This window comes from Homo sapiens, chromosome 10 (genome assembly GCF_000001405.40).
Source record: "Homo sapiens chromosome 10, GRCh38.p14 Primary Assembly".
Taxonomy (NCBI): domain Eukaryota; kingdom Metazoa; phylum Chordata; class Mammalia; order Primates; family Hominidae; genus Homo; species Homo sapiens.
The window spans coordinates 35,065,779-35,079,909 of record NC_000010.11 but is presented as its reverse complement, the minus strand read 5'-3'; the positions used below and the strand labels follow the sequence as shown (position 1 = coordinate 35,079,909).

General features: G+C 41.2%; 1 protein-coding gene and 1 non-coding gene across 12 annotated transcripts in view; both read left to right on the top strand.

The window, feature by feature from the left end:
• CUL2 (cullin 2) overlaps window positions 1-14,131 on the top strand; it is a 118,456-nt gene that overhangs the window by 47,097 nt on the left and 57,228 nt on the right. For 8 of the 11 annotated variants that reach the window (XM_011519745.2, XM_047425852.1, XM_011519743.1 and 5 more), the window contains one exon: window positions 8,571-8,711. In XM_011519745.2, coding sequence (XP_011518047.1) covers window positions 8,571-8,711 — 141 coding nt within the window. Of the gene's footprint in view, window positions 1-5,579; window positions 5,832-8,570; window positions 8,712-14,131 lie in introns of those variants that run through there. The other 3 variants (NM_001198779.1, NM_001198778.2, NM_001324376.2) reach the window with 3 other exon arrangements.
• MIR3611 (microRNA 3611) lies at window positions 230-312 on the top strand. The gene has a single exon (NR_037405.1). It is a non-coding gene; the product is annotated as a microRNA 3611 (primary transcript).

Below are 14,131 nucleotides of genomic sequence, written 5' to 3'. Positions count from 1 at the left end.
TAGTAGCTGTCTTGATTATCAGATAGACTGTTGCAGTTTTGCAGTATTTGTGTTCAAGTCACCCTGATTTTACTTAGTAAGGGCCCCCAAAGTACAGGAGTAGTGATCCTAGCAATATGGATACACCAGAGAGGCTTCTGCCATAGAGTGCTTCCTTTACACGAAAAGTTGAAAGTTCTCAATGAGGAAAGAAAAAAATAATAGACTGAGATTGCTAAGACCTACTGTAAGCAGGTCTAATAAGAATTTCTTTTTCTTCACAATTATGAAAGAAAAGAAATTGTGAAGAAAGAAATTCTTACTAGTTTTGCTGTCAAATCTCAATCTGTAAAAGTGATAGTTATATCGTGTAATAAGTGCTTAGTTAATTTGGAAAAGGCATTACACTGGTGGGTGGAAGACATGAGCAGAGACAAGTTCCACTTGATGGCAACATACTGTGCCAGAAAGCATTGAGCCTATTTGAAGACTCAGCAAGGGATCCCCAGAGACGAATGACACCAAACCATTTACTCTAAGTCAGGGACTGTAACACATATTCAGGAATACAGAAGGTCAGTAGTAAGTAGCCCAATGCCGACCTTCCGATGCATGTGTCACTCACCTCACTTCATCTCATTACATAGGCATTGTATTGTCTCACACCTTCACAAGAAGGGCGAGTACAGCACAGTGAGATATTCTGAGAGACCATGGTCATGTAACTTTTATTATAGCATATTGTTATAATTGTTATATCTTACTGCTAGTTTTTGTTAATCTCTTACTGTGCTTGATTTATATAATAAACTTTATCATAGGTATGTATGTATATGAAAAAACATAGTTTCGGGCATTCCTGGGGATCTTGAAACGTATCCCCTTGGATAAGGCAGGGGACTGCTGTAAGGCTCTTTATTGGGTCTTCAGTATTTTCTCATTTTATGCATTTGGAAGGAAATCTGCTCTAAGCCTATTGAGTGGCATTTAAAAAACTAATTATGGTGTCTTAACTATCTGAAGTCAACTTAGACCACTCTATTGTATCTTACTGATAATTTTTGGATGCCAAATTTTTATTGGTGCTGCTGATCAGTACTGAAATAAATCGTCATTCAGGAGTTTTGTTCACTATAAAGAGAATCAAAATAGTAAGTGGTTAGCCATTTACATTATTGATAATTATACTTTTAGAAGGTAAGTAAAATACAAAACACCAAAATGCATCTTTTGAGATACTGTAACTTTTACCTGCTGAAATTATCTAAATTGTTTTTTTGCTCCAGCAAGTGAGTTCACAGGAACAAATCTCTTTATATGAAAAATGTCGGGCTGGGTGCAGTAGCTCACGCCTGTAATCCCAGCACTTTGGGAGGTTGAGGCAGGGGGATCACCTGAGGTTGGGAGTTTGAGACCAGCCTGACCAACATGGAGAAACCCCGTCTCTACTAAAAAAAAAAATACAAAATTACACCGGTGTGGTGGCGCAAGCCTGTAATTCCAGCTACTTGGGAGGCTGAGGCAGGAGAATTGCTCACACCTGGGATGTGAAGGTTGTGGTGAGCCGAGATCATGCCATTGCACTCCAGCCTGGGCAACAAGACAGAAACTCCATCTCAAAAAAAAAAAAAAAAATTCACCTGATCTTAACAAACATATATATTTTTTATTTCTGCTATTAGTAATTTAAGTTTTTTAGGGGTGGACATTTTGTCAGGCTATGTTAACACATCACATTTAGGGACAGTACCATGTGTTTTGTGAGCTCTCCTACAACTTTGGAAACCTAAAACTCACAGGAAAGTTAAGATTCTCAGAAGGGAAGGTTAGTAACGGCTTTCAGTTAGAGATGATGTGCTTTCTCCCCTAAATTTATGAAAATATTAATGTTTATGAGGAGTAGGATTTTTAAATTCCTTTATTATGGAAAATTGTAAACACATACAAAAAAAGAATATTGTAATAAATCCCCATGTCCCTTTTATTCATCCTTAACAGTTATCAACTCATGAGCAAGCTGTTTAATTGTGAAGCAGATTTCAGACAGCATATCATTACATCTGTAAATATATATTTTTAATATTATTTTTATTTCTTTTCTTTTTTTTTTTTTGAGACGGAGTTTCACTCTTGTTGCCCAGGCTGGAATGCAATGGCACGATCTCGACTCACCGCAACCCCCGCCTCCTGGGTTCAAGCGATTCTCCTGCCTCAGCCTCCTGAGTAGCTGGGATTATAGGCATGTGCCACCGTGCCCGGCTAATTTTGTATTTTTAGTAGAGACCGGGTTTCTCCATGTTGGTCAGGCTGGTCTTGAACTCGTGACCTCAGGTAATGCGCCTGCCTCGGCCTCCCAAAGTGCTGGGATTACAGGTGTGAGCCACCACATCTGGCCTCATTTTTATTTCTTTTTATTTTATTATTATTATTTTTTGAGACGGAGTCTTGCTCTGTTGTCCAGAGTGGAGTGCAGTGGCATGATCTTGGCTCACCACAACCTCCACCTCTCAGGTTCAAGCGATTCTCCTCCTCAGCCTCTTGAGTAGCTGGGATTATAGGCAGCCACCACCACACCCGGCTAATTTTTGTTTGTTTTTTTTGTTTGTTTGTTTGTTTTTGTTTTTTGTTTTTTTTTTTGAGACGGAGTCTTGCTCTGTTGCCCAGACTGGAGTGCAGTGGCTATTTTGTGGCCCTCTTCATTCACTTAGTAGAATGTTTTTGAGGGTCATCCATGTGATAGTGTGTATCAGTACTTCATTTCCTCGTATTGCCAAATAATAATTTATTGTATGGATATATTGCATTTTAACCATTTATCAGTTGATAGACACTTGAGCTATTTCAAGGGCCTTTATGAATAATACTACAGTGAACATTTGTGTACCAGTTTTTATGTGAATATGTTGTATTTCTCTTGGGAGTTTTATCTCGGCTCATTGCAAGCTCCGCCTCCTGGGTTCACGCCATTCTCCTGCCTCAGCCTCCGGAGTAGCTGGGACTACAGGTGCCCACAACCACACCTGGCTAATTTTTTTTGTATTTTTAGTAGAGATGGGGTTTCACCATGTCAGCCAGCTGATCTCGAACTCCTGACCTCAGGTGATCCACCCACCTTGGCCTCCCGAAGTGTTGGGCTTACAGGCGTGAGCCACCGTGCCTGGCCACAAATATACTTTTAAGAGAAAAAAGCAGATATATAACAATCTGAATAGTATACCATTTATGTAAAACAGATGAAAAAAATACCATGTTTATATTATGTAAAAGGGAGTAACAAATCACATATATGTATAAAATACACCCAGGAACATATAACATTTATTGCCTCATTCAATGGGAGGTGGCAATGAGGTCGTACACGGGAGTGGTGGGAGAGAGATTGAGATTTCAGAATTTTATGCTAAATGACCATATGGATGTATTGATACTTACTTCCACCTCATCCCCGTTAAATTGCTCTAAAATTTTTGGCAGGATTTTATAATTCATTGTTAAATGTATAGCAGCTTTATTGAGATATACGTCACATACCATTCAGTTTACCTATTTGAAATATACAATTTAATGGTTTTTAGTATATTCCCAGAGTTGTGCAACTATCATGACAATCAACTTTAGAGCATTTTCCTCACCCTGTTGGCAGTCATTTCCCATTTTCCCCCCAAGTTCCCTAGTCAACCACTCACATACTTTCTGTCTCTAGATTTGCCTATTCTTGATAATCTATATAAATAGATTCATACGTTATGTGGCTATTTTGTGGCCCTCTTCATTCACTTAGTAGAATGTTTTTGAGGGTCATCCATGTGATAGTGTGTATCAGTACTTCATTTCCTCGTATTGCCAAATAATAATTTATTGTATGGCTATATTGCATTTTAACCATTTATCAGTTGATAGACACTTGAGCTATTTCAAGGGCCTTTATGAATAATACTACAGTGAACATTTGTGTACCAGTTTTTATGTGAATATGTTGTATTTCTCTTGGGAGTTTTATTTCTCTTTATACTTCGGAGTGGAATTGCTGGGTCATATGGTAGCTGCGTTTTATAATTCACTTTTGTAATTATTATTGACAATCATGCATATTTAGAAATTATGCTGTGAGGAAATCAAATCTACAAGTGTTTTCAAATGTAATAAAAATGTTGCAAATATTGTATTAATGTTGACATAATGTTTTCTGGAAACAGGTAATTAAATATAAATTTTTATTTTGCAATTTTTAAAAATGTGGAGCGTGCGTGTGTGTGTGTGTGTGTGTGTGTGTGTGTGTGTGTGTGTGTGTGTGTTTTAGGGCCCATAAGTGGCCCTAGCCACTGGACCTGTGTGTCTAAAACCCCATTGTTGCAAGAGTGGAACTCACAAGGAAACTAAAAGGGACTGTGGTGATTTCAGGAGATTTGGATTTTTGCAGTTAACTTGATGGGACACAATCTGAGTGCGCGTGGGAATCTCGTTAAGGCACAGGAATGAAGAACAAGACTGATAGATTTATGAGTTGTTTGACAGCTTGGGGGGTAGAAATAGTGTGACTGTGGTCCTTTTTCTTCTTTGCCCTGTCTCTTTCACATCCTTGTGTAAACTTTCCCTGAATGTTATTATTAAACATTTTTAAGAAACTTAATTTTCCTAGTTATATGAGCTTTCTGCTGGGCAAGCAGAGAATCTTGACAGACTGTCTCAGCATACCTTCCTGCTATTGGTTTGTCAGTTTTTGGTGTGTTTCACGAGGCTGGTGCTTCTTGCACGTTGGCTTCCAGATTTGCTATCCATCCAAGCATGGATTGTAACTGTATTTTCCTATGGTACCAGAAATCTATCAGTCTCAACAGAGAAGTCAGTGTCAGTCTGATTCCATAAAGCAAAAAAAGTCTGTGCAACTGTTAAACTAATTTACAAGCAGTGTGTATAATATGATTCCATTTTATAAGAGGAGAAAGCGAATGTGAGGGGAGCATCGCTAGCTTTTTGGTACGCAGTTACAGAATTGTCCCCACTCTCAGAAACACTCAGGTAATTACAGTTCAGAGCGATGAAGTACTCTAATAGAGGAAAGTGTGGAGTTCTCAGGTAATACCTATGATAGGACACCTTACCTAGCTTAAATGGTCCAAGAAAGTTTCTTAAAAGCAGATGAAGGCCGGGCACAATGGCTCACACCTATAATCCCAGCACTTTGGGAGGCCAAGGCGGGCGGATCACTTGAGCCTCAGGAGTTCGAGACCAGCCTGGCCAACATGGTGAAACCCTGTCTCTATTAACAATACAAAAATTAGGGTGCGATGGCTCACGCCTGTAATCCCCCAGCTCCTTGAGAGGCTGTGGCAGGTGAATCACTTGAACGTGGGAGGTGGAGGTTGCAGTGCACTCGAGCCTGGGTGACAGAGGGAGACTCTGTCTCAGGAACAAACAAAAAAAAAGCTAGTGGACCAAGGTTAGACTATCAGTGGGAGTTAGGTGGAATGGGTGGAGGGGGCAGCTAAGGAAAAGATAAGCACTTTAGGTAGAGAAAATAGTAAGGGTAAAGGCAAGTGTATGAATCAGGCTGATGTGTTCAGTGATCTCTAAGCAGAGAGAAGTTCCTAGATTATGATGTCACAGTAGGGAGTACCAGGAGGAGAGGAAGCTTGGGTGCCATGTTGCAGTTGAGCCCAAACTGAATGCTGTCTGTAGAAGGAAACAACAAACTTTGTACTTTATGTACAGAGTAACATGGTCAACTTTTTGGCTTAGGTAGGTTATTTTTGTGTCTTTGATAAGGGCAAGATCTGAGATTCTGATCTTGAAGTCAAGAACTTTGTTTTGTCCACTGTATCCTCAGAGCTTGGAATGGTGCCTGGCAAGGAGTAAGTATTCACCAAGCATGTTAGTGAGGTAGCATGGTTGCACACAGCAGCCTAGAGCACCGGCCGCAGCACGGGTCTGAATCCTGATGCCACCATTACATAGCTTTGTGACCTTAAGCAAGTTTCTGAATCACTTGTGACTCAGTTTTCTTATTCAGAAAATGGGGAGAACAGGTCAGGCGCAGTGGCCCATGCCTGTAACCCTAGCACTTTGGGAGGCCAAGGTGGGTGGATCACTTGAGGTCAGGAGTTTGAGACCAGCCTGGCCAACATGGTGAAAAACCCTGTCTCTACTAAAAATAAAAAATTAGCCGGGTGTGGTGGCAGACGCCTGTAATCTCAGCTACTTGGGAGGCTGAGGCTGGAGAATCACTTCAACCCAGGAAGCAGAGGTTGCAGTGAGCCGAGATTGCGCCATTGCACCCCAGCCCAGGCTGACAACAGCGAGACTCCATCTCAAAAAAAAAAAGAAAAAGAAAAAGAAAAAAAAAAAGAAAAGAAAAGAAAATGGGGACAACAGTGGACCTACCTGTCAGAATGTTGGGAGGATTAAACGAGTTTGTACAGGGTACTTAGACTAGTGCTTGGCTTGCAGTATACACAATGTAAATATTAACTGTTACTATTTCTGCTGAGGGCCTGATTCCGGATCATTTGTAGGGCTATACAAGTATGGATGGATTCAGGAAATACTCATGTGCACAGTTGATGATAGGATGTAGTAAACAAGGAAGAGAAGGAGGCATGGTTAATTCCCTTATTTAGAGCTTAGGAAACTCAGTAGGTTCTCCCACCTCCTCCACTCTCACCTTCCCCTCAATTTTGCAGAGTAAAATCGCTGCTAATCCGTTATAGATAGTTCGGGAATGAGTTGAAGGCCAGGAGGTGGAGGCTTTGGAATGTTGAGGAAAGAGGATGTGGTTCAACAAGGCATACCCTCTTTTGGATATTTGGCTTTTCTCTGATTTTTTTCATTCTTTTCCATGGAGTCTATTCCTGGGATTCCTTGAGCTCTCTTCTCATCTGGAAACACAGAAGGGCCTCTCCCAGTCCGTGGCTGGTGGTGCGGCCGCCATCCTACCCGCTCCCTTTGCCCATTCTCTTTATGCATCATTCCCTCCTCCCCATTCTCTGCCTCCCCTTTCCCCTATGATGGGAGACGAGAAAAGATGTTTCATCCTTTTTTGGCCTTGGCTACAGACTAGGTTGGTGTCTTACAGTCCTGCTAATAAGGGGAGACATGAGGGAGGCTGTTAAAACATTTGCCAGAAAAATGTTCCTTTGAGCAATTACATTTAGCTTAGAAAGTTTCTCTTTTAATTTGGGACCCTTTTGTTCCAGAAACCAGCTAATTCCTAAATGCAGTTTGTCTGAGGCAGGAGTCTTTGAACTCCCTTAAAAGCCCATTCTGGGCCAGGTGCAGTGGCTCACGCCTGTAATCCCTGCACTTTGGGAGGCCGAGGTGGGCGGATCACGAGGTCAGGAGATGAAGGCCATCCTGGCTAACATGGTGAAACCCCGTCTCTACTAAAAATACAAAAAATGAGCCGGGCATGGTGGCGGGCGCCTGTAGTCCCAGCTACTCGGGAGGTTCAGGCAGGAGAATCACCTGAACCTGGGAGGTGAAGGTTGCAGTGAGCCGAGATTGCGCCACTGCACTCCAGCCTGGGCAACAGAGTGAGACTCTGTCTCAAAAAAAAAAAAAAGCCCATTAAGTTCACTGGAGCCAGGGATTCCATGCTAGAGCCATGCTTTTCATTAGAACTGGGAGGTAGATACCCCAAGAATCTGGGAAGGAGCCTTAAGCTCTCCACTGCAAACCTGACATTTCTGTGGAATCTTTTTTTTTTAATCTTAAAAGGTCATGTGAATTTTATATTCTACTCCATAATTCATCCCTGTTTGGTTTAATATAAATGTAAATTTCTTCCCTAATCTTATACTGATGCTCCAGGAAGGTAAAGCCTTTCATTTTCTTGTGTCTTCTCATATTCCCTTGCATGCTGCCTCATTCCCCACTTTCAGGAGTGCAAACCACAAGGATTTGGGGCCAAAACCTTTCGGTTGAATGTCCTGCATTATTTCCCATGATGGAAGTTGGCCTTTTGGTTAAGTGGGTCCCCGTTTCTTTCCCTCGCAATATTAAATGAGGACTATAAATCTTTGAAACTATACCCTTGATCATAAATAATTTGTACTAGAAGCTTTCCATTTCCTAGAGCTTGTAATGAATGTAAATAGTCTGTGAAATTTCTTGTCTGGATAGTCATGAAAAGATGGTAGCTAACATTTTGTTGTGTGCCGGGTTCTTTTCTCACTCCTTGCATATATCATGCTATTTAATTATGTAGTGCTTTAAAAACAAATAACTGGCCGGGTGTGATGGTTCATGCCTGTAATCCCAGCACTTTGGGAGGCCAAGGTGGGCGGATCACGAGGTCAGGAGATCAAGACCATCCTGGCTAACACAGTGAAACCCCGTCTCTACTAAAAAAAAATACAAAAAATTAGCTGGGCATGGTGGCGGGTGCCTGTAGTCCCAGCTACTTGGGAGACTGAGGCAGGAGAATGGCGTGAACCTGGGAGGCGGAGCTTGCAGTGAGCCAAGATCACGCCATTGCACTCCAGCCTGGGCGACAGAGCGAGACTCCGTCTCAAAGCAAACAAACAAAAAACAACAACAAAAAAACTAAGCTCATGGAATTATTGCTAACATTGTTATTGTTTTTTAATTGACAGATTTCAACACTACACTTGCACAATGTCTTTGAAACCAAGAGTAGTAGATTTTGATGAAACATGGAACAAACTTTTGACGACAATAAAAGCCGTGGTCATGTTGGAATACGTCGAAAGAGCAACATGGAATGACCGTTTCTCGTATCCTTTTAATGGCAGCTTGATCAATGTTCTAAAATTGATAAATTTGTTGAAAACTGAGAACATGTTCAATGTTATGGAAGAACTTTCCCATGTAACTATTTTCTAATATATTATCATCTACATTTCCAAGTTCATCACCTCTTTTATGGCAATCAGTATTTGATAACCTTTCATTCAACAAGTATTTGTTGAGTACTTAGTATCTGTCAAGGACTACTTTAGGCTTTGGGAATACAGTTGGTGAACAAAAAAAAATTCCTTTCTATTATAAAAATAGAAATAGACACTAAACAGGTAAAAAAAAAAATCTAATGTCATTGCTTTCAAGAAGAGGTCGTGATAAATGAAAGCAGGATAAGGACGTGGGGGAGGCTTGGAGCACCTGTGTGGGTGCTGCTCTTTTAGAATGGGTGGCCAAGGAAGGCCTCCCTGAGGATGGTGACATTAGAGCAGAGACTGGAATGCAGCGAGGGAGCAAGCCATGTGATTTTGGGGGGAAGAGTGTGCTTGCTGGAGAGTGAACAGCAAGTTCAGTGACTGGGGTGGAAGTGTGTTTTTCATTAGATTGCCTACATGTGTGAATTGAGAGTTTTATGTAACAATGCAGATTGGTGATTTCTCTAGGATGCCCTGAAGCCTAGTTTCCTGTGTTCCTCCATGACAGTGATCTGCTAGACCTAACTAGTGCTGCCCTCTCTAGCAATCTTCTGGGGCTACAGAAGGGCTGCCCTCATTATATGGGGCGTACATTCTTTAGAAAAGCTCTGATTTCATAAGATAGTAGTTCAGCTTGTTCTGAATGCCTAATTCAGTTGTTAATATTAAGCTGAATGTGGATGCAAGAAGAGTAAAGTTCTTTAGACCAACAGAAAACCATTTAATTCATTACAACTGCAGTAGGCAGTAAGAAAAGTTTGTTAAGCCAACTATGTTCTGGGCACTGAAGATATGTAAAAGGGTGATGACATTTTGGAAGGCTTCAAAGTTTGAAAAGATCTTTTATATTTTTTATGTTGTTTGATACCTCAAACAAGTCTATCAGATCAGTGGGGCAAAAATAATTACTTGACTGTAACGGATAAGGAAACTGATCTCAGAGGTAAGGGACTTATTTGCCCAGGGTCATACGGGTAGTAATTGATGGACCACAGACTTGAATATAGTATCTTAAAGATCCAATTTCCTATGCTTTCCAGTATATCTAGAGGATAACCAATATAGATTCTGCCTTTGAATTAGATAGCTAATTTTTCTGTGGAACATTATGGATTGATTTGGGGCAAGAATCTTAATAAAAGTTGAAAAAGTGTTGCTACTTGTGTGTTAGTGAGATTGGGCTAGGCAAGTTCATAGGTGCTTTTAAGGATATTTTAGCTAAAACAAGGAGCAGAGAGGGAAGAGGAGTTGGTTATAGATGACTACAAGAAGAGCAAGAAGAGGGAAAATGAACAGGAGGTAAAGAAAAAATAATTAAAATGTGTTCTTCATCATTGTACAGAATCGACAGTGAATTTCTTGGTTTTTAAGTGGTTTTGAAATAGATTACTTCCCTGGAAAGTGACCCCTTCAGTCACTGTTATTTCTCTGATGTTATTTGTTTGGTCCATCTAATATGGTTTAGTTATCCTTTTTTTTTTTTTAATTTTTACTTTTTAGAGACAGGGTCTCACTTTGTCACCCAGGCTGGAGTACAGTGGTGTGACTATAGCTCACTGCAGCCTCAACCTCCTAGGCTCAAGAGATCCTCCTATCTCAGCCTCCTGAGTAGCTGGGACTACAGGCATGTGCTACCACACCTGGCTGATTTTTAAAATTTTTTTGTAGAGGTGAGTTCTCACTATGTTGCCCAGGCTGATCTCGAGCTCCTGGGCTCAATCACTTCTCCCACCTTGGCCTCCCAAAGTGCTAGGATTACAGGTGTGAGCCACCTTGCCCAGCTGGTGGCTGGGCCAGTTATTTTTCACCTGATCATGAATTTTCTCTCACCCCCAAAATAAAAAGTCTGCAAAAATAATGATTAAAGAGTACAGGCCGGGCACGTTGTCTCACGCCTACAATTCAAGCAGTTTGATAGGCTGAGGCAGGCGGATTATGAGGTCAGGAGTTCGAGACCAGCCTGACCAACATGGCGAAACCTCGTCTCTACTAAAAATACAAAAATTAGCTGGGCGTGGTTGTGGGTGCCTGGAATCTCAGCTACTTGGGAGGCTGAGGCAGGAGAATTGCTTAAACCCTGGGAGGCAGAGGTTGCAGTGAGCCAAGATCGGGCCATTGCACTACAGCCTGGGCAATAAGAGCAAGGCTCCGTTTCAAAAATAAATAAATAAAAGACTATGCTACTAATTGTTATAAGGTAAAATTCCATCATTTTCCCTGTTATTTTGCCCAAGAATATAAAGTTCACTTCTGACCCTTAATATCTTAAGTGGAAATTTTAAGGGCCATACAATGTAAATACTTTGAAAAGGAAAAAACAGGTCCCTCCACATTGTTTCAAATATGTGTTATTATTTGAACTTTTAGCATGCATTTATGGGGAGTGTGAATAACACAAATATGGACAAGTTCATAAAATACACCTTTGCACAAATAATTATAATGCAAGCAATTACATTATCAATAGAACATTGAACAATAGAACATTGTCCACATTCACTATAACCCCCACCCGAAACACGTGACCCTCTAAGTTCACAATCCCACCCGTTTCTCTAGGAGCTAACTACTATCTTGATTTTTGTGCCTGTTGTTTTTGTGGTTCTTTTTTTTTATTAGACATAGTGCGTTGTAGTTCTTTTTTTTGTTAGGCATAGTGCAGTGATCTCAGCTCATTGCAGCCTCCACCTCCCAGGTTCAAGTGATTCTCATACCTCAGCCTCCCGAGTGTCTGGGATTAAAAGTGCCCGCCACCATGCCTGGCTAATTTTTGTATTTTTGGTAGAAATGGGGTTTTGCCATGTTGGCCAAGCTGGTCTCGAACCCCTGGGCTCATGTGTTCCATGTGCCTTGGCACTCCTGAAGTGCTGAGATTACAGGTGTGAGCCATTGCACCCAGCCTTTTGTGGTTCGTTTTTTTTTTTTTTTTTGAGACGGAGTCTCGCTCTGTCGCCCAGGCTAGAGTGCAGTGGCTCGATCTCGGCTCACTGCAAGCTCCGCCTCCCGGGTTCATGCCATTCTCCTGCCTCAGCCTCCCGAGTAGCTGGGACTACAGGCGCCCACCACAATGCCCGGCTAATTTTTTTGTATTTTTTTAGTAGAGACAGGGTTTCACCGTGTTAACCAGGATGGTCTCGATCTCCTGACCTCGTGATCCGCCTGCCTCAGCCTCCCAAAGTGCTGGGATTACAGGTATGAGCCACCACGTCCGGCCCTTTTGTGGTTCTTAAATGGTGAATTTTCTTGGACTTTATATAAATAGAATAAACAATAATGGTGAATTTTTTTTTTTTTTTGTGGCAGGGTCTCACTCTGTTGCCCAGGTTGGAGTGCAGTGGTGTGATCTTGGCTCACTGCAGCCTCCCCCTCCTGGGTTTAAGTGATTCTCATGCCTCATCCTCCCGTGTAGCTGGGATTACATGTGCATGACCTGGCTAATTTTTGTATTTTTGGTAGAGATGGGGTTTCACCATGTTGGCCAGGCTAGTCTTGAACTTCTGATCTTAAGTGATTCCCCCCACCTCAGCCTCCTAAAGTTCTGAGATTATAGGTATGAGCCACTGTGACCGGCCAATGGTGAATTCTTTGATTTTTGGACTTTGTATAAATAGAAAGACTGTACCTGGCCCTGTTCTAGTTTACTTTTACTCAAGGTTTTCTCTCTTTTAGTAGCTGTTAGGACAGATTTCCATTCCAGACTCCAGCAGCATAATGTAGACATTTTCCTACTGGAGGAGAAGTGGCATCTAAAGGTTATAGTAAGTCCAAAATGATTGTTAGGGGAGACTTAATATTGCCTTCCCTCAACGTATTTCTTCCAGGTAGGAATATGAGTTCATCCTCCCACCATTTAAACCCAGGCATACTGTTGTCTTCATTTCTTTTTTTTTTTTTTTTTTTGAGATGGAGTTTTGCTCTTGTTGCCCAGGCTGGAGTGCAATAGTGCAATCTTGGCTCACTCCAACCTCCGGGAGGCAATTCTCCTGCCTCAGCCTCCCTAGTATCTGGGATTACAGGCATGCGCTACCACACCTATCATTTCTAGTTTATATTCTATCAGGCATCTCTTTCAAACATAGACCAGTTTTGATGTCATTGAAAAATATTGAGGCAAGTACCTGTATCCTTGACACTTTTCACAAGTGTTAGAAGAAGAAGGTCTTAGTAACCATGGAGATTATGTGTAGTAGCCCATCATTCTTTCTTAGATTTTACAGATGGGAAAAGATTTTATCTATAGTCAGGTGTATTTGGTGCATCAGCAACTGCCTGACCCTATTCTAAATTATATCAGGCTAATTGATATTTGTTCTCATTGATTCACTAGCTGTGCACTTGAAAATTTTCGATTTAATTAGTCATTTTTTATCCTTGTTTGCTAATGCATGATTTCGTAGATACTGCATCTGTATTCTTTCTCATTAGAAATGCCAGCAAATCTGGCGGGGCGCAGTGGCTCACGCCTGTAATCCCAGCACTTGGGAGGTTGAGGCGGGTGGATCACCTGAGGTCAGGAGTTTGAGACCAGCCTGGCCAACATGGTTAAACCCCATCTTTACTAAAAATACAAAAAAATTAGCCAGGCATGGTGGCGCTCAACTGTAATCCCAGCTACTCAGGAGGTAGGCAGGATAATTGCTTGAACCCGGAGGGTGAAGTTTGCAGTGAGCCGAGATCACGCCACCGCACTGCCTGGGCAAAAGAGCGAAACTCCGTCTCAAAAAAAAAAAAAGTCAGCAAATTCTTTTTTACTGTTAATTTTATTATATATTTTTTTTAATTGTCAAATCCTTTTTTGGTTGTCTTACATTTTCATTTTTTTAGGTAACCTTTCCTTTTATTCCCATTGCAAAACTCTCATTGTTTTTGACCCATGGCATAATAGAGTTCATACTGTTAAAACTCAAAATTAAGCCAAGCGTAGGAAACACCTTTTAATAGAGAACATGAAATAAAATAAGTAACTTTGCTGCTGGTTAGGACTGTCTTTTGGTTGCAGCTATGAGCTTTCATTCTGGAACAGCTTAGTTTCTGACTGAGACATTTTTAAACTGGAAAGTTCATAAATAGAGGAGTTTTTGTATTCTGGCTCCCTAAAAAATGACTTAGGAAAAGATAAGTCTAGTGAAAGAATGTTTAAGTTGAAATCTGACCTAGTTATTTTGTGTTTTTTTTCTTTTTTGAGATGGTGTCTCGCTCTGTTGCCAGGCTGGAATGCAGTGGTGTGATCTCGGCTCACTGCAACCTCCGCCTCCTGAGTT